Raw genomic sequence first — 22101 nt, forward strand, 5'->3', positions numbered from 1 at the left:
TGCAATTACAAAGGTATAGACTGGTAAATTTTGTTGTGCTTTATTACAATTAAAATATTGTAAAGTGATACATAAAAGAGATACAGAGTTATAAACTTTTCAGAAAATTACCTTCAAATTATAAGCGTGTTTTTCTCACACAAAGATAATATAGATTCATCAAAAAATACATGGGCAAATTAAGACTATTTACATGACTACTCTCCTGAACAAGTTAAAACAAACTTTTGACATCAGCCAAGAAGAGAAATATGCAAGATAAGAATAAATGGAGTATATTTATAGAGGCAAACAAACACATGATTTTATTGGTGGTAGATATGACTGATTCATATTTTAATTAAACCCCACATCGACTCGATGTGTACATAGAGTTGCAGATTTACATCCAAAATCATAATATGTAGGTAAAACCAAATTCACAAAACACAAATGTCAAAGAAGCTACCCCAAAAAAGAAGCACAGTAATATGAAATTTCAAAACAAGAATGAGAGAAACATTAACAACAACAACAACAACAAAAACACTTCTATATAAAACATAGATGTACAATTAAGAAAGAATCCGCTTAGATAATTACAATTTCCCGCTGTGACCTTGCACTGGTGGTGAGCACAGATTTTGAATCATGACTATGTTAGGGAGACGCCCAAGGAGACAGACAGTGCCACCTCCAGAGAAGCCATTGCTTCTCCTCCTGCCGCTGCTGCTGCTGCCCCCACCGTCCGCTGCGCCTGCAGCCCCCACTGAGCGTCGGACTCCTTCCTGGAGTAGGGAGGTCCTGTTCCTTCTGGAGCGACAGACACCCTTTCTCCTGGCCTTCTCGCTTACTAGCCCGGCAGGTGCTGGACAGGAGATCTGAGCTGGTCCTGCGTCTCTGAGGAGCTAGGAGCCCGGCTGGGAGAACAAGGAGACGAACTGTGGGGAGAAGGGGCGACAGGAACGCCAGGCTCATGGGACCGCTGGCAGCGGCCTGGGTATGGCTGGCGGCTGAATGGTCAGAGATACGAGAGGTGGCCACTGTCCCCACCTTTGGCCCCCTAGCCGGCATTCGTACATTCTGTGCTCAACAAACGGAAGCGGCAGCTGGAGCTGCTGCTCCGGGAGGTGGAGTGGCCTGGCAGAGGGCACATGGCTGCCACCTGCTGCAAGGTGAGCTGGTCTGCAGCCTGGGCCCACAAAAGGCCGCTCTTGTGCAGGACACACCGCTGCCCTTGACCCTCTTGCTCCCCCGCCTGCTGTGCAAAATGCTCAGGTCCCTGATCTCGGGCTTTCCTGGCAAGTGCACTGTGGTGGGGAGGCAGCAGGGAGGAGGGCTTTTCCAGGAGCCCTGAACAGAGGATCTTGGCATAAAGAGGAGAGAGAGGTGGCTGACTGGTTCCACTTGTAGGTAGGGGGGCAACAAACCCCATGGGACCCTGTTTTTTCAGGGAGATTTCAGTTCACTTCTTATCTTTTCTCCACCCACTTGAGCCTCTGAGAATAGAGGAGACGAGGCTGTTTTAAATTGGCCTAACCATAATGGTCTGGACCCTTGCCCCAGGGCAGACCTAATTTTGGGGCTCTTTGCAGCATGGAGGCTCACGCCTGTCCACCCCAGGTGTCTTCAATATAGGGTCTAGTTAGGCCTGGCTGGCAGTGATGCTGAGACGCAGCACGACCTGGCCAGATCTTCGCCTGTTACAGGACATTATAGCCTTCAGTGCCCTGTGCCATTTATCTCGCCTCCAGAAGCCCCTGTGAGCCTCAGTGTTGCCGGTGCCCAGGCCCTGGCTGCCTCTCTATTAGGGTCCCATCTTATGCCTCCTAAATGCACCGGGGTCTCACTCTGCCTTTCTCCCTTTCCCAGAACAGGCCCCTTCAACTCCAACAGAACATGCCTGGACCATGTGCATCCCTCTTCAGTGTTAAAACAAAGAAAATTTATTTTTTTTCCACTGAACATGTAACTGATTTAACATATAAGGAGGTCAGCTTTATGCATAGATCTATGCATGTAAATATATACAAAAATTCTAACGCTGTGGGAAAATTAACATCCTTACACTTTGTTCAGTTATTTTATAGTTTTCTCTCTCTCACTCAATTGCTTTTTTTTTTTTTTTTTTGAGACAGAGTCTTGCACTGTTGCCCAGGCTAGAGTACAGTGGCAAAATCTCAGCACACTGCAGCCTTTGCCTCCTGGATTCAGGAGATTCTCATGCTTCAGCCACCTGAGTAGCTGGAATTACAGGCATGGGTCACCATGCCCAGCTGTTTCATGTGTTTTTTTTTAGTCGAGACCGGGTTTTGCCATATTGCCCAGGCTGGTCTCGAACTCCTGGTCTCAACTGATCTACCCTCCTTGGCCTTGCAAAATGCTGGGATTACTGGCATGAGCCACCATGCCCAGCCTACCTGTCACTATCTCTATGTTTATTTGTTCAACAGGAAAATTCTCAGTGAAGACTCCTCAGTATGAAGGAGATAAGCCTGCACAATCAGTCACTGATAGATGCTTAGTGGAAAAACTTCCAATTCCCATTTACAGCTCTCAGAGCTAGGATTAAAAACTCCTGGTCATAAACTCATGTGATGAGAAGTTATAGCACGCCCTCATTTTCTACATATCCACTTGCATTTATGGTTGGCTTTTGAACTTGCTAGAAGGGAAAGAAGTGCAAATGTGTCCTCCTTAGAGCTACTCTCCTCCCCTTGGTGGGTTTCCAGTTTGTGCATTGTCCAGATGGCCCAGGAGCTGACGATCAAAGGGAAGAAGTCATGTTTGTCATGAGAATGCTTTGCTGCATCAGGATTCAGTGAAGCTGTTCACCGCCTGGAGCCCATGCAGCCTCAAGAGGCAGGATGGAGCTCAGAAACCATCACTGAGGTTAGAAAGTGAGCACCAAAGTTGAGGGAAGCCCACAGGAGTGAGCCGAAGTGCTCCCTTTGGATTTCCAAGTGGTTGCTGCTGCTTCTTCCATCAGCCTTGCTTCTGACCACAATGTGTTCCTGGTGCCTTCTTCTTGGCATTTTGCTGTTTGTGTCCAAGGAAAATAGTCCTGCATGGCAGTGGTGAGAAGGATGGCTGCCTGCTGAAGCTGATTTGCTGGTAAGCTTTGCAGCCTGTTAAGCAGAGCCTGAAATTCTTTCTCACTGAGTGGTGATTCAAACCTTGGAGGGTCCTCCCCTTGTGGATCGGCATTCAGAAAAGATTGTGCCTTTTCCTGAAACTCTGGGGATTATAGGAGATCATGCAGATGGCTGGTGTGGTTGCTCCAGCAGGTGGATGTCTCCTTCGTGGCTTGTGTCTGTTTCTGTCACAGGGGAGACTCAGTGTGCATGGGCTGCTAAGGTGCTCCTGCTTCAGGTTGAATCATGACATCCTAGGACCCCTTGCCCCGGCTCCACCACTGCTGGGATTTGGCCTGTTGACCCAAACTCTAAAATTGTGGCTAAGAATGACCAGGCTGAGGCTGTCCTTTAAGGCAGAACTTCCAGGTTAGTGTCTCATTTTTCTTATCCTGAAATTTTCCTTTCGACAGAGGCCAGAAGCAAGTCTGTGTATGGGAGAGCCTCCCTCCTAGAGCTGGTACCATTGACACATGACTCCTGAGTGCCAGAAGAGGTTGAGAGAACTCTCCCATCTGCACAGCCTGTCTCATGCAGAATGCAGATGGATCCAAAAAATCACAGGATGTGGGAGGTGAAGGAAGAGCTTGTAAAAATGAAAAGTGGCTGGTGAAAGAGTAGGAGGCATGAAGAGGATGAGACCTGCCTGGGGCAGTGCACATGTTTTGTTCCAGCCAAACAATCAGATGAGGTCTTGGTCTTGGACCTGGTGCCAGGGAATTCATAAGCCCCCTTTTGCTGTGGCCTGGGAGCTGAGGTCTTTGGTTCTGAAACCAAATGTAAATTTTGGACTCTGGAATACCTGTCTGTTTAACCAGTTTCTCTCTACTGGTGATCGCAGGAAATGAATTATCCTGTAAAATTTTGTGGATTCTTCTCAAAGGCTTCAATGAGTACACTGATTTGTGGTTCAGTGATGGATGTCCCTTTCCTCCTGCCTTCTTATTTGACTTACACCATCAATATTAACTATGGCAGTTATGGTAATATCATTCTTTACAACAGAGGAAACTTCAAGTCATTCATTGATGATATCAAAGCCTCATTCTCCTACATTAAACATTCTCCTACATTTAGCTTCTTGAATCTTCTATGTCCACTGTCTAGAAAACCTAAACACATGAAGTACCACAAACTAGAAATAAATACCTCAATAGGCACCAATCATAAAAGTAAATCCAAGAAGGAACAGAATATATGAATACATATATAACAAGTAAAGGGATTCAATTAATTAAAAATCATCACACACAAAAAAGCCCAGAGTCATGTGGCTTAACTGATAAATTCTACTAAACATTTAGTGAAGAATTAATGCCAACTCTTCACAAGGCCTTCCAGAAAATAGAAGACAGTTATTGGGAACACTTCCCAATTTGTTCTATCAGGCCAGTATTACCCTGATACTAAAGCCAGACAAAAGCATCACAAGTAAATATGAACATAGATGAATTTCCCTGATAAATACACAAACAGAAAATCTCAAAAAAGAGTGAAATGAATCAAGAATAAATCAAAATGACTGTACACCATGACCAAATGGAATTATTTCACAAATGCAATATTGATCTATCCAATAATCAATCAATGCATTACACAAAGTAATAGGATAAAGGAAATTAACAGAAAGGTCCTTTCAACAGACACAGGGAGCATTTAACCAATCCAATATTCATTCACGATCTCCCTGGAAAAGAGGAGTACAAGAAACTTCCTAGATCTGCTAAAAGGCGTCAATGTAAAACTTACAGCTAACCCCATAATAATAAAATACTGGTTGTTGTGTCTTGACATTTGAGAACAAGACAAAAATGTTAACATCCAAATAAATTACATAAGAAAAATAAACAAAATCATCAATGTGGGAAAATAAGAGGTTAGAACTCTCTATCATTGCAGAGGACATAATGTGAATATAAAAGTTTATAAGAAATTCATTAAAACTCACTACAACCAATAAGTGAGTTCAGCAACATCACAAGATACAAAACCAATATACAAAGTTCAATCGTACTTTTATGTACTAACAATGATCAACCTGAAAATAAAATTAAGAAAACAATTCCATTTGTGTATGTATGAAAAGGAAAAAAAATATTTAGGAGTAGATTTAATCAATTGCAATTTTACAGTAAAAAGAAAAACTGTTAAATAACTTTTAAAAACTGAAAAAAATAGGCATCAAGGTTTATTTAGTTAATATTATTCCATTATTCAGTGTATCCATTTAAACTCCATACAATAAAATAAAGTATATTTTAGCATTATTTTTAGTGTAATAAATACAGGTTGGTAGAAAACTCATAAATATAAAAGGAACTAATACTACATGTGCAGAGTAGCCCATTCTAGTTTTTCTATTTTACATCTACTGTAAATCAAACAGATTTTCTTCCATATTTTATAGTGGATCTTAATATAAAATCCAAATTGTTAAATATGTGAGATTGATTATAAGCTTGCCAAGGAGGTTTTTACTCAGTGTGGGAATTTGGAGAGCATAAAGCTGCAAAGACAGAAGCAAATGTTTTTGAATGAATTATGAGGGACAATACTCACAGGAGTGATTCCCACTTTTATCAGTTGACTCATGTGATCTTACTTTAGGAGAAACTGACTCTCATTTTAGACATTGGTTCATCACAGATGCTAAATGAACCAGCACCAAGTTTATATCCAGGAGAACTGCTCACTGTAGAGGATTTTGTCTCCTAGCTGATGACATGTTCTGTCTTTCATAGGCTACTCCAAAACTTTTATAATGATGGTAGAGTTCTGTAAAGTGGAGCCTCAGGCCTGCTATCCCCATGCTCCTGGCCAGCAGCAGCATCTCCCCTGAGCATGGTGACATAGGGCATGCCATTGACACCCAATTTGCTGGTGTTCACCTCCACATACTAAGTTGCTAGAGAATTTGCAGTGGATTTCCATTTTGCTGCATCTGGCTGTCCAGAAGCCCTGCAAGTAGAATGGGATGGTCAGGAGAAAACATTGAAAGAATAGATGGGAGTTCAGAGGCTGCCCACCCTCCTGCCCTCTGCCCACGGGCCACAGCCCTCACCCAGCTGTCCAGTGTGTATGTCTGCTAAAGGCTGCTGCACTTGTTCTCCATCACAGAGGTGGGGTGACAGCAGTCTGTGGGCACCACACTCCATGATCAGCCTCTACTGTTGGTGCCACAGCTCCAGGTAGAAAGGCAGGTGAGCCAAAGACAGGTCCCACCTTCCACATCCAGCCCACATTCCCACCAACTTCCAGGCCCACCTCCATATGCTGATGTGATGCTCTCCTTAGAGCTCTTGTGGTTCTTCAGCCAGGAGATGGAGAGAGTGGGGTTTCAAGAGTAAGGCAGTGAAAGTTGGTTTGGGTGGCCACCATGGTTGGTGGTTTCCTGTCCATCCACTCGGTCCAAGTCCAGTAAGGGGCCTCTGCTGGTGGAAGCACACATGAAGGCCATAGCTGGGGTGAGGAGCAGAGACTTATCTCACCAGACCCCCAATTCAAGGTTGCCGCTGCCCACCCACACCCTCTCTTTTCCCTCCTGTGTAGGGAGATTGTTGGCCTTTCAAACCCCTCTTCCTGGGCTGAATAAGGATTCCAGGAGCTTCAACATAATGTCCCCACCCAGTCATGCTCAGAGCTGGGCCATGTGTCCCCTCCCATTCCCTTCACTTCCCACAAGTGGCTGCTCCTGCTGAGAGGTTGGGGTGCTTCATCCTGGCCTAAAAACCTCAAAGAATAATGGAGTCTCCAAAGGAGCCCCCACCCACCCAGGGAGGCTGACAGGGAGGGTCCACCAGGAAGGGAGCCCAGCAGGTAGCCCAGCTAAGTGAATGAGCCAGGGTAGGCATTGGGAGCAGTTTACCAGGAGAAGAAACTCAGCCCCTTGCAGAGCGGGGAGCCTCAGAAGCAGCAGAGAAGCCTTGCCCCACAAGACTCTGAGTCCCTAAGCCACCCCCTGTAGAGCTCCAGGGCACTGGTGAGGATGGCCTCCTGGAGGCCTCAGCTCTTTTTTGTGCTAATGTCCAGGGCTGTCACCATTCCGCCCCCGCCCCCCTCACAGCTGAACTATTTTTCTTCTTTCTGGGGCTGGGGTGGGGCTGCCTTCCTGCCTGGATTCATGGGTAGGCTGGATTGCCTTACCCCCAGGAGAGAGGCACCAGGGGCCCAGAAAAGAGGAAGGAGGCAGCCCCTTCCCCACAGTGACCTCCTCGCAATTCACATGCAGCAACAGGCCCACCTCTCAGAGTAAGATGCTGAGGCACAGGTAGGAGCTGTGTAGAGAGACACTGGGAAGAGGCACCTCTCACAGCTCTGAGCTGACCTCCAGCCCTCCAGGGATGGGGGAAGGTAGACCCATTGGTGATGAAGACAGCTCAGTGAGCTGTGGCAGAGGAAGTTCCCAGGACTGGGAGACGACAGTGACTCAACGCTGCTCATTTCTAGACTGTGCTTTCTGAAAGTGGCCCTTCAGTTACCCCCACAGCTTGAGGCCACACAAGCCTGGGATGGCCAGTTAGGCAGACGCAAGCAGGGATTCAGGGGGAGTGCACTAGGGTGTGTGGGCAGGGGCAGAGGCCATTGAGGCAGGTGAGGAGAAATTTTCATCCTCTTCCTGGTCTGCCCCTCTCCTGGGGTCTAATTTCCTCTATTCCGTCTGCCTCTGGCTCCCTGGCTGGCTCCTCTTCACTCTCTTGCCTGCTCACCCCAGAGGTCCCAGGGGCTCAGCCCACCACAAATGGTCCCCAAGTTGTAGCTGACCCTTCCATGTCCATCCCATGAGGACCCTCATCTGCCTGAGTATATCTCTGGGCTCCTCTGAAACCAGAAGTCCCACCTCACTGACTGCTCCATGGCTAGGCAGCATCCACCTGCCACTGTTCCAGGCCAGAATGACTGGGCATTGTCCCCCTGCCTGCTCCCTCACACCTACAGCTCATGCCCCCAAAATGCTGTTGGCATCCTTCATACAACCCTCACAGCCACCCTGCCCCCTGCTGGGCTGTAGGTTTGGTCTCCTGGTGCCTTAACCCCTTTGTCCATCTGCCCCTGGGCAGCCACCTGAGCCCCTGAGCACTGCTGTGCTCACATGTGCAGTAGCCCCCTCACCCAGAGCCAGCATCGAAGTCTCCACAGGCCAATTCTGGCCTCATCACTGCTCCTGGAACCCCAGGGCCCTGTGCCCCAATCTCCCCATCTGCAGCATGGGTGTCTCTTCCTACCCCAAGCCTGCCCCCCAGAGCTCAAGACATCCAGAGCCATCTAATACATATGTAATACATACAAATTACATAACAATTTGTAATATGTTGTACTACATACACATTTTCATATGAATTCATCATAATACGTACAAATTATGATGTCATAATATATTGTGATGTGACAATACACATGAATTATCATGTCATAATACATTGTGATGTCATAACACATACTAATTATGATGTCATGATATATTGTGATGTTATAATGCATATGAATTATGGTGTCACAATACATATGAATTATGATGTCATGATACATTGTGACGTAATAAGAATTGTGACATCATAATATATCATGATGTCATATGCATGCAACTTATGATGTCATGATATACTGCAATGCCTTAATACAAACCAATTATGATACAGTAATATGTTGTGATGTCATAATATCATATTTATTTATCATATTTATCATATAACATTTTGTCAGATATTTTTATAAGAAAATTGAGTGAAATTTTGTAACATTAACATATAAAGAAGCTTACAATCATGATGAAAGATGAAAGAGGAGCAGGCATCTCACGTGGTAGGAGTGGGAACAGGAAAGATGGGGGAGAGATACGCCTCACTTTTAAACCACCAGATCTTGTGTGTACTCACTGTGACAATGACAGCACAGAGCCATGAGAAATCCATCTCTATAATTCATCCACCTCTCACCAGGCCCCACCTGTAACATCAGGGATTAAAATTCAATATGAGATTTGGAGGGGAAATCTAAACTATATCATATGACGATTAGAAAAACAGATGAGGTCCTTCACGTCTCTTTGAAGCAATTGTGAATGGGAGTTCACTCATGATTTGGCTCTCTGTCTGTTATTGGTGCATAAGAATGCTTGTGATTTTTGTACATTGATTTTGTATCCTGAGACTTTGCTGAAGTTGCTTATCAGCTTAAGGAGATTTTGGGCTGAGACAGTGGGGTTTTCTAGATATACAATCATGTCATCTGCAAACAGGGACAATTTTACTTCCTCTTTTCCTAATTGAATACCCTTTATTTCCTTCTCCTGCCTAATTGCCCTGGCCAGAACTTCCAACACTAGGTTGAATAGGAGTGGTGAGAGAGGGCATCCCTGTCTTGTGCCCGTTTTCAAAGGGAATGCTTCCAGTTTTTGCCCATTCAGTATGATATTGGCTGTGGGTTTGTCATAGATAGCTCTTATTATTTTGAGATACGTCCCATCAATACCTAATTTATTGAGAGTTTTTAGCATGAAGGGTTGTTGAATTTTGTCAAAGGCCTTTTCTGCATCTATTGAGATAATGATGTGGTTTTTGTCTTTGGTTCTGTTTATATGCTGGATTACATTTATTGATTTGCGTATATTGAACCAGCCTTGCATCCCAGGGATGAAGCCCACTTGATCATGGTGGATAAGCTTCTTGATGTGCTGCTGGATTCGGTTTGCCAGTATTTTATTGAGGATTTTTGCATCAATGTTCATCAAGGATATTGGTCTAAAATTCTCTTTTTTTGTTGTGTCTCTGCCCAGTTTTGGTATCAGGATGATGCTGGCCTCATAAAATGAGTTAGGGAGGATTCCTTCTTTTTCTATTGATTGGAATAGTTTCAGAAGGAATGGTACCAATTCCTCCTTCTACCTCTGGTAGAATTCGGCTGTGAATCCATCTGGTCCCGGACTCTTTTTGGTTGGTAAGCTATTGATTATTGCCGCAATTTCAGAGCCTGTTATTGGTCTATTCAGAGATTCAACTTCTTCCTGGTTTAGTCTTGGGAGGGTGTATGTGTCGAGGAATTTATCCATTTCTTTTAGATTTTCTAGTTTATTTGCGTAGAGGTGTTTGTAATATTCTCTGATGGTAGTTTGTATTTCTGTGGGATCAGTGGTGATGTCCCCTTTATCATTTTTTATTGCGTCTATTTGATTCTTCTCTCTTTTCCTCCTTATTAGTCTTGCTAGTGGTCTATCAATTTTGTTGATCCTTTCAAAAAACCAGCTCCTGGATTCGTTAATTTTTTGAAGGGTTTTTTGTGTCTCTATTTCCTTCAGTTCTGCTCTGATTTTAGTTATTTCTTGCCTTCTGCTAGCTTTTGAATGTGTTTGCTCTTGCTTTTCTAGTTCTTTTAATTGTGATGTTAGGGTGTCAATTTTAGATCTTTCCTGCTTTCTCTTGTGGGCATTTAGTGCTATAAATTTCCCTCTACACACTGCTTTGACTGTGTCCCAGAGATTCTGGTATGTTGTGTCTTTGTTCTCGTTGGTTTCAAAGAACATCTTTATTTCTGCCTTCATTTCGTTTTGTACCCAGTAGTCATTCAGGAGCAGCTTGTTCAGTTTCCATGTAGTTAAGTGGTTTTGAGTGAGTTTCTTAATCCTGAGTTCAAGTTTGATTGCACTGTGGTCTGAGAGACAGTTTGTTATAATTTCTGTTCTTTTACATTTGCTGAGGAGAGCTTTACTTCCAACTATGTGGTCAATTTTGGAATAGGTGTGGTGTGGTGCTGAAAAAAATGTATATTCTGTTGATTTGGGGTGGAGAGTTCTGTAGATGTCTATTAGGTCTGCTTGGTGCAGAGCTGAGTTCAATTCCTGGGTATCCTTGTTAACTTTCTGTCTCGTTGATCTGTCTAATGTTGACAGTGGGGTGTTAAAGTCTCCTATTATTATTGTGTGGGAGTCTAAGTCTCTTTGTAGGTCACTCAGGACTTGCTTTATGAATCTGGGTGCTCCTGTATTGGGTGCATATATATTTAGGATAGTTAGCTCTTCTTGTTGAATTGATCCCTTTACCATTATGTAATGGCCTTCTTTGTCTCTTTTGATCTTTGTTGGTTTAAAGTCTGTTTTATCAGAGACCAGGGTTGCAACCCCTGCCTTTTTTTTGTTTTCCATTTGCTTGGTAGAACTTCCTCCATCCTTTTATTTTGAGCCTATGTGTGTCTCTGCACGTGAGATGGGTTTCCTGAATACAGCACACTGATGGGTCTTGACTCTTTATCCAATTTGCCAGTCTGTGTCTTTTAAGTGGAGCATTTAGTCCATTTACATTTAAAGTTAATATTGTTATGTGTGAATTTGATCCTGTCATTTTGATGTTAGCTGTTTATTTTGCTCGTTAGTTGATGCAGTTTCTTCCTAGCCTCGATGGTCTTTACAATTTGGCGTGATTTGGCAGCGGCTGGTACCAGTTATTCCTTTCCATGTTTAGCGCTTCCTTCAGGAGCTCTTTTAGGGCAGGCCTGGTGGTGACAAAATCTCTCAGAATTTGCTTGTCTGTAAAGTATTTTATTTCTCCTTCACTTATGAAGCTTAGTTTGGCTGGATATGAAATTCTGGGTTGAAAATTCTTTTCTTTAATAATGTTGAATATTGGCCCCCACTCTCTTCTGGCTTGTAGAGTTTCTGCCAAGAGATCCGCTGTTAGTGTGATGGGCTTCCCTTTGTGGGTAACCCGACCTTTCTCTCTGGCTGCCCTTAACATTTTTTCCTTCATTTCAACTTTGGTGAATCTGACAATTATGTGTCTTGGAGTTGCTCTTCTCGAGGAGTATCTTTGTGGCGTTCTCTGTATTTCCTGAATCTGAATGTTGGCCTGCCTTGCTAGATTGGGGAAGTTCTCCTGGATAATATCCTGCAGAGTGTTTTCCAACTTGGTTCCATTCTCCCCGTCACTTTCAGGTACACCAATCAGAAGTAGATTTGGTCTTTTCACATAGTCCCATATTTCTTGGAGGCTTTGTTTGTTTCTTTTTATTCTTTTTTCTCTAAACTTCCCTTCTCGCTTCATTTCATTCATTTGATCTTCCATCACTGATGCCCTTTCTTCCAGTTGATCGTATCAGCTCCTGAGGCTTGTGCTTTCTTCACGTAGTTCTCGAGCCTTGGCTTTCAGCTCCATCAGCTCCTTTAAGCACTTCTCTGTATTGGTTATTCTAGTTATACATTCCTCTAAGTTTTTTTCAAAGTTTTCAACTTCTTTGTCTTTGGTTTGAATTTCCTCCTGTAGCTCGGAGTAAGTAGTTTGATCATCTGAAGCCTTCTTCTCTCAACTCATCAAAGTCAGGAACACTTTTACACTGTTGGTGGGACTGTAAACTAGTTCAACCATTGTGGAAGTCAGTGTGGCAATTCCTCAGGGATCTAGAACTAGAAATATCATTTGACCCAGCCATCCCATTACTGGGTATATACCCAAAGGACTATAAATCATGCTGCTATAAAGACACATGCACACGTATGTTTATTGCGGCACTATTCACAACAGCAAAGACTTGGAACCAACCCAAATGTCCACCAGTGATAGACTGGATTAAGAAAATGTGGCACATATACACCATGGAATACTATGCAGCCATAAAAAATGATGAGTTCATGTCCTTTGTAGGGACATGGATGAAATTGGAAATAATCATTCTCGGTAAACTATTGCAAGAACAAAAAACCAAACACCGTATATTCTCACTCATAGGTGGGAATTGAACAATGAGAACACATGGACACAGGAAGGGGAACATCACACTCTGGGGACTGTTGTGGGGTGGGGGGAGGAGGGAGGGATAGCATTAGGAGATATACCTAATGCTAAATGATGAGTTAATGGGTGCAGCACACCAGCATGGCACATGTATACATATGTAACTAACCTGCACATTGTGCACATGTACCCTAAAACTTAAAGTATAATAATAATAAAAAAAAGAAAGAAAAACAGATGAGGCTGGGTGCAGTGGCTCACGCCTGTAAACTCAGCACCTTAGTAATCCGAGGTGGGCAGATCACAAGGTCAGGAGATTGAAGCCATCCAGTCTAACACGGTGAAACCACCCCCATCTCTACTAAAAATACAAAAAAATTAACTGGGTGTGGTGGCACTCAGCAGTAGTCCCAGCTACTTGGGAGGCTGAGGCAGGAGAATCGCTTAAACCCTAGAGACAGGTATTGCAGTGAGCTGAGGTCATACCACTGCACTCCAGCCTGGGCAAACAGAGTGAGAATCCATCTCAAAAAAAAAAAAAAAAAAAGAAAAACAAAAAAAGAAAAGAAAAACAGATGAAATAGTAATGGTTTCTACAGATACTTTCATTACAAAGCATATGGATAAATGATTTAATTCAACATTCTGTGGTCAGAAGAGAGAAGGGAGGTGTAAAGGGGACTTTGACTGCATTTGTTATACTTCCCTTATGCTGTTGTTATGAGTTTTGATGTCACCACCTGAAGGGGTATTCATGGACGGAAGAATTATTGCTATTGTTGTGATTATTCCTTTTTCTTTTGTATTAGTAAAATAAATCTTTTAGCTTCTCATATAATTTTCTTTAAAAGCCCTAAGAGTTTCGGTTAAATTCTTCGTTATTGTGTGTTATAAAAATTGACAGGGAAATGGCTAAAATAGGTTAAAATTACACAAACTCTAGGAGTCCAGTTTCTGTTAGACAGGCTTAGGAGAGACAGAACTGGAAACACTCCACCATCATAGACATCAGACACATGGGGCTCACTTTCTGTCCCAGCCCTGCCCAGATCCACCCTCTTCTAAGGCCTTATCCAGGCCTGGCCTCACCCTAGAATCTCCTCTCACAGAAGGAGATCAAAATTAAAGGAGATCAAAAATTTGAGTGGTGGCTCCTCCTGCCTCTCCTTAGCTGATGCCCACAATTTCCTGAAAATAAAAAGCAGATAAATGGGAGCAAATGATTATCTATTTGTGGGTCACAATTTCTTTTTCATTGAAGCCAGTGCTTGTAGAGACATCCCACCTAGCAAACTGTTTTTCTGCCGATCCGGTAGATGCTCTACAAAGCACAAGAAAGTCAATATAAATACCAAAAATCCCTCTGAACAGTTCACCCTTTCTGTATCCCTTCCATCTGTCTATATAGATTTTATTCTACACATTTTCTTTTTAAGGTAAGTAATTTTAAAAATGAAAGAAAAATAGAAATGCTGGGCCCTTCATTTAAAGCCTAGGAATTACAGAACACTTAGCAGCCAACTACCAGGGTTGAGGATTCACTCACATCAGGTGATGTTTGCAGCACAGTGCTGTGTAACAGACTTCTGAACACATAGTACACACTCAGTAAACATTGTATTAACTCATGGATACATGTTTTTCAAATGCAGACTTACTCAACCATTGATGCCTTCTCTAGGCTCTATAACCTTTAAAGAGCCAGCAGAGAATAACATGTTTGTATATAGTGATTGGTGGTTTCCACTTTGGGCCAAAAGGGTTTGTGTTGTGGTAAGAGTGTTGGGTGTCAGGAACTCTCTGTGCTGTTCCTACTTTCTCTGAGTGCTACTACAGTGGATATAGTGGGAGAATCAACAGTCTCCCCTTAAGGGGAGACTTTAAGAAGCCAATTCATGGACCCCTTCCAAACTTGCAGAATCACATTACTAAGACAGAGGCCTGGAATCAGAAATGATTTATATGTACATTGAAACTTGAGAGGCAATTCTTTGCTAAGTGGCTCTCAGCCTAGGTGTCCAATCATAATCACATGACCACTTTAAAGAAATACCATCACCTGTGCTCTCCCCACAGGTTCTGTCTGTTGAGCTTGGTGGGCTCATACATATAGTTTTAATTAGGAAGTCAAATTGTCCCTCTTTGTTGATTACATAATATTATATCTAGAAAAATCTAAAGACCACCAAAAACTTTTAGATTTGATAAATAAATTTAATAATGTTTCAGGATACAAAAATCAATGTAGAAAAAGTAGTAGCATTTTCATACACTAATAATGATCAAGCTGAGAACCAAATTAAAAGGTCAGTTTTTTTTACAATAGCTACAAAAAAGTAAAACACATAGAAATATAATTACTTAAGTAGGTGAAAGATCTCTACAAGGAAAACTACAAAACTCTGATGAAATAAATTGTATATGACACAAACAAATGAGAAAAACATCACATGTTCATTGATTGGAAGAAGTATTATCATTAAAATGACCATACTGCCCCAACAGTCTACATATTAAGTGTAATTCCTACAAAAATTCTAATGTTAGTTTTTATAGAATTAGAAAAAAATTATATTTATATGGAACCATAGAAAAGCCTCAATAGCCAAAGCAAATTTGATCAAAGACAACGAAGTTGGACATATTACATTACGTGACTTAAAATTATTCTAGAAGGCTTTAATAACCAAAACAGCATGGTAATGATGTAAACAGATGCACAGATCAATGGAGCAGTATAGAGAACCTAGAAATAAAGCCATATACCTACACACAACTGATCTTTTCCAAAGTCAACAAAAACACACACAGAAAAATGACATTTTATTCAACATATTGTGCTGGAAAAATTACGTTACTATATGCAGAAGTATGAAATGGAACCCCTAACTCTCACCATATACAAAAATCAACTCAATATGGATTAAAAGGCTAAAATGTAAGACCTGAAAAGATAAAAATTCTAGAAGAAACCCTATGATAAACTATTCTGGACATTGGCCTAGACAAATAATTCATGACTAAGATCTCAAAAGTAGATGCAACAATAACAAAAATAGACAAATGGAACTTAATTAAACTGAAAAGCTCCTGAAAAGAAGCTTTTATTTAATAGGTGAGCAGACAAGCTATGGAATACAAAAAAAATGTTTGCCAACTATGCATGTGACAAAGAACTAATGTCTAGAATATATAAAGAAATCAAACATCTCAACAAGAATAAAACAAGAAACTTCATTAAAAAGCAGGCACATAACGGGAAAAGATATTTTTCAAAAGAAGACAATGATGGCCAATAAGCATGTAAAAAATGCTCAACATTGCCAATGATCAGAGAAATGCCAATTAAAAACGACAGTGAAATACCATTTTACACCATTCATAATGGCTAATTATTAAAAAGCAGAAAAATGATAGATATTGGTAAGGATACCGAGAAAAGAGAATACTTATACATTGTTTGTGGGAATGTAACTTTCTACAGCCTCTATGGGAAACAGTATGGAGATTTCTCAAAAAACTAAAAAATAGAACTTCCATTTGATCCAGCTATCCCACTACTGCGTATCTACCCAAAGGAAAATAATTCACTACATAAAGAAGATACCCACACTCATATGTTTATTGCAGGATTATTCACAATAGCAAAGATATGGAGTCAATTTAAATTTATCTATCAATGATTGAATAAACAAAATTTGCTATACATTTATACCATGGAAAACTACTCAGACATAAAGAATAAAATTATGTCTTTTGCAGCACCATGAATGGAACTGGAGGCCATTATTGTAGGTGAAATAACTCAGAAACAGAAAATCAAATACTGCATTTTCTTACCTATATATGGAAGCTCAATAATGCATACACTTGGATATAGAGACTGGAAAAATAGACACTGGAGACTCAGAAAGATAGGAGGTTGGTAGAGGGGTTAGAAATGAGAAAAACACCTAACTGGGACATGAGCACCGTTCAGGTGATTGTTACACCGAAAGCACATACTTCATCACTCTGCAATATGTCCCTGTCATGAAACTTCATTTGTACTAACATATTAATAAAGAGAAAAAAACTGACTTTTATCAAGAGAGCAGAATGAATAGACCTTCTACTTTTCATAAATACTTAGGCAGAAAAATAATTTTAATAAAAATAAATAAAAAATGTATATTATATATATTTTACATAATTTATATATTGTAAATATATATCAATATTTTTATATATCAATATTTGTATATATAAAATATATATCAATATTTTATATATATAAATATATATCAATATTTTATATATATAAATATATATTATATATTATATATATAATATATTATATAAAATATATATAATATAAAATATATTATATATTATATATATTTATATATATAAAATATATATATATGGGGTCAGGGTCTCACTCTGTCACCCAGGCTGGAGTGCAGTGGCATGATTTCAGCTCACTGGAAACTCTGCCTCCCGGGTTAAAGTGATTCTCCGCCTGCCTCAGCCTCCCGAGTAGCTGGGATTACAGGCGCCCCCCACCATACCCAGCTAATTTTTGTGTTTATAGTAAAGACAGTGTTTCACCATGTTGGCCAGGCTGGTCTTAAACTCCTGACCTCAGGTGATCCATCTGACTCAGCCTCCCAAAGTCCTGGGATTACAGGCATGAGCCATCACACCTGGCCAATAATATTGCAATATAAGAATGGTATAAAAAGACACTTTGATGAGTTAGAGTAGTTCTTAGCGCAGACAATATGCAAGATTCTAAGCCATTAGACATTTGTAGACAGAATATCTAACAGTGTAAAATAAATAACACGAAGATTCATTGGCAATGAGAAATTGACTTTTTTCAATCATATTAGATGACATTAAAACCATTATAAAATTTACTGTTTTGTACATAATAAAGGATCATAATGTTAAACAACTTCATTAAAAGTTTGACAAATTAGGCATATAAATAGGCAGCATGTTGACCAGTAAACAGAAAATACACTTTTCAAAGACCAAACAAAATTATTTTTATTTATTTATTCATTTATTTATTTATTATTGGTGGATGAGCAGCTTTATTAGCTGGGGATATAGTGGGGTCCTCTCCCTGGGAGGTGGGGTCTTTCACTGGTCACTCCCGGCAGTGGTCCAGGAGGCGCCAGGCAGTTCAGTGCTGGGCTTAGCTGGGGGCTGAGCCTTGAAGAAGGCGAACCGTGCAGGGAAGTAGTAGCTGTGGGGTCTCACCTCCCGCTCCGCCCTGCTGCACTGGGTCTCCTGGTGCTCCTCAGGGTCCCGCCGAGCCTGAGTCTCTATAGGACAGTGGCCCATCCGGCCCGAAACCTTCTCCTCAGAGCCCAGTTTGACGCAGGCCAGGCATTTCCACTTCCTTCCCTTGGGATGGACTTCGCACTCGTGTTTCTTCCAGTCCTTCCGCCGGCCGCTTGTCTGCCTGAGCTTAAATTCCAGTTTCACAAATGTTCCAGCTGGGAAGGACGTATCCACCGCGCCGTCCACACCGTTCTCCCGGAAGGCCCATGCCGGGGAGGGTGCATTCCTCCAGGGCTACCTGCAGGCCCCGGCGCTGGGCCCCGGAGCTCGGACCCGCCTGCCTCCCCAGCGCCCCCCGCGCCCACCCACGGGGCCAGCAGCATCCGCAGCCGTGGCTTGCTTCTGCGGTCTCTCACTCTGGCCCTGCGAAGCTCCTGTGCACCGCTCAGCTCTCTGAGCCCGCTGGGAGGTGCCTCCTCCCCTGCTCTTCCCCTGGGTGGCTATGCCCACAGAACTCTGGGCAGAGGTCAAAGAGCCAGGAAATGTCTCTTTCTCCAAATTGACTTTGGTGTGCGCCTGGTTCTCTCCACTCCCTCCTGCCCTGTCCACACTGTTCCCTGGGGCCCGCAGGTTTAGCAAAGTTCCCTGCCCCCTGCCTGGGCCAGGAAGCAGTCCTGTTGCCCACTCCCACCCTTCAACCCTTTTATGGCCCATTCTCTCTCCCCACTGGGTCTCCCACACGACAACCCCTCCTCCCTACTGTCCCCGGAGCCCCTCTCTGGTTCTCGCGCTCAGCCTCTTCCCTGACTGCTTCTCCATCTCCATCCTGAATCTCCCAGCTCCAGTAGGGTGCCCCCCAATCCCAGGGCCCAGGCAAAACCAACAAAATTATTTAAAATGGGAATATTTGAATTCCACTGAATTCGTAAAAGCAGAAACCCATCTGGTTATATTTTAAAGAATTATGAATTAATAATAGCAACTATCAATTTAAAGTGTAACCAGGGTTAAGAATACCCACCATTTTAACAACAACAACAATGAAAGCGTGTTATAGCTAACAAACTAGTTCTGGAAAGTTGCAGGATACAATATTAACATGAAAATCAGTTGCATTTGTATACAGTAACAACAAAATATCTGAAAAAGGAATAAAGAAAACAATTCCATTTACAATATTATCAAATAGAATGAAATACTTAATTCATTAAATAGAATGAGTTTAACCAAGAAAATTAAAGATCTGCATACTGGGTCGGGCGCGGTGGCTCATCCGTGTAATCCCAGCACTTTGGGACACCAAGGCGGGCGGATCACGAGGTCAGGAGTTCGAGACCAGGCTGTCCACATGGGGAAACCCCGTCTCTACTAAAAATAAAAAAAAAATTAGTCGGTGGTGGTGATCTCCTGTAATCTCAGCTACTCAGGAGGCTGAGGCAGGAGAATCACTTGAACCCAGGAGGCACAGGTTTCAGTGAGCCAAGATTGGGCCACTGCACTCCAGCCTGGATGACATAGTGAGATTCCATCTCAAAAAAAAAAAAAAAAAAAAAAAAATCTGCATACTGAACACTATGAAATGTTGATGAAAGAAGTAGAAGAATAGGCCAGTTGCGGTGGCTCACGCCTGTAATCCCAGCACTTTGGGAGGCCGAGGTGGGTGGATCACGAGGTCAGGAGATTGAGACCATCCTGGCTAAAACGATGAAACCCCGTCTCTACTAAAAATACAAAAAATTAGCCAGGCGTGGTGGCACGCGCCTGTAGTCCCAGCTACTCGGGAGGCTGAGGCAGGAGAACTGCGTGAACCTGGGAGGTGGAGCTTGCAGTGAGCTGAGATGGCGCCATTGCACTCCAGCCTGGGTGACCGAGCGAGACTCCGTCTAAAAAAAAAAAAAAAAAAAAAAAAAAAAAAAGAAGCAAGCAAGCAAGCAAGCAAGCAAGAAAGAAGTACAAGAATACGAAATGTGAAATATATCCTGTGTTCATGGATTCTAAAAATTAATATTGTTAAAATATCTATACTGGACAAAGTCATCAACAAAGTTAAAGAAATTTCTATCAAAATTTTAATGCCTTTAAAATAAGTGTAGAACAAACAATTCTAAAATTAGTATAGAGCCATGAAAGACCCCAAATAGGCAAATACTGTGAAGAACAGAAAGGCTGAATGCCTCAAACTTCCTGATTTCAAACTGTATTACAAAGCTATAGTCATTAAAGTAGTATAGAACTTACATAGGAACCACTGAAACAGAATAGAGGACCTAGAAATAAATTCACCCATATGCAGTCAACTGGTCCTACAGAACCAGGAAAAGATAGGGACATCAAGAAGTGGTTTAGAAAAAACTAGATATGCACACACAAAAAGTGAAACTTTCTTATATCATCACAAAAAATGAGTTTAAAATTAAAGGCTTAAACATAATAACTGAAATCACGAGTCGTCTTTAAAAAATAGGGAAAAAGCTCCTTCACCCCGGTCGTGGCAATGATGTTTTGGATTCTACACAAAGAACACAGGCAACAAAAGCAAAAATTTAAAAAATGGAACTATATCAAAGTTTCTGCATGATAAAAGAAAGAATCAAGAAAATATAAAGACAATATATGGGATGGGAGAAAATTTTCGTAAACCATATGTAGGATAATATGTTGCTATTCAAAATATACAGAATACTAATCAATATGAAAAAAGCATCCACAGGAGAACAAAACAAAAACCAATTCCCTGATTAATTGGGCAAAATATTCATTTTTCCAAAGACATACAAATGGCCAGCAGGTATATGAAAAGTTTCTCAACATCACTAATTATCAGTGTAATTAAAATCAAAATCAAAATGAGAAATCACCGTATCATGGTGTTAGGATAACTATTATCAAAGTGTCAAAAGAACAAAGTGTTAGGGTGCACAGAAAAGACAATATTTGCACACAGTTGCAGAGCATGTCCTTTGGTGCAGCCATTACAAAAAAAAAATCCAGTATGGAGTTTCCTTAAAATTTTTAAACTTGAAGAACCATTAATCCCAATTTGGAGAATATAGCCAATGGACATAAAATTTAAGTATAGCCGAGGGCGTTTGCATGCCTCTGATACAAATAGATGGATAAACTGTAAGACAGAGATAATTTCAGCTTTAATAAGGAATGAAATTGTTTTAGTTACAAAAATATTGATGAACCTTGAAGACATGATGCTAAGTGAGATCAGCAAAATACAGAAAGGCAAATATTGCATGATCTCATTTGTATGTAGATATATTAAAAAAAAGAAAGAAAGCGGGAGAAGGGTAGTTTGCATGGGCTAGGAAATGGGGAAAGGAGGAGATATATCCATTGAAGGGTGCATACCTTCAGTTATATAATGAAAAACTGCTGGGGACCTAATGTGCAGAATGGTGACTATAGTTAATAATAACGTGTAGTTGAAATCTGTTACTAAAGTAGACCTGAGGTGGTTTCACTACACACACTGAAATGTATAAAGTAACTATGTGAGGTGTTAGATAGGTTAACCAGCTTCACTGAGATAATTTAAAGACGTATACACATCTCAAAGCACTCTATTGTATACCCTAAATAAATACACTTTTCAATGTGTAAATGTGGAAAAAAATTAACAGTAGTCAGCAGGTCACATCTAGCCACATGTAAACTTTATTTAAAATTGTTGGCCACCCTTTCTGGCTCAACCCGGGAACAACCGGAGCACTTCTGGCCCCTTGACTTTGACGCTCCTCCCACTGTTCCTGTACTGGGGAAGATATGATAGTTCCCAGGGGTGGGTGGGCGCAGTGGCTCACGCCTGTAATCCCAGCATTTTGGGAGGCCAAGGTGGGCGGATCACTTGAGGTCAGAGGTTGAAGTCCAGCTAGACCAACATAGTGAAACCCTGTCTCTACTAAAAATAGAAAAATTAGCTGGGTCTGGTAGCCTGCGCCTGTAATCCCAGCTACTCAAGAGGCTGAGGCAGGAGAATTGCTTGAACC

At 41.7% G+C, this 22101-nt stretch overlaps 1 pseudogene; it reads right to left on the reverse strand.

The window, feature by feature from the left end:
* Positions 18023-18495, reverse strand: RARRES2P8 (retinoic acid receptor responder 2 pseudogene 8; annotated as a pseudogene).

The sequence above is a fragment of the Homo sapiens genome, chromosome 16 (genome assembly GCF_000001405.40).
Source record: "Homo sapiens chromosome 16, GRCh38.p14 Primary Assembly".
Lineage (NCBI taxonomy): Eukaryota > Metazoa > Chordata > Mammalia > Primates > Hominidae > Homo > Homo sapiens.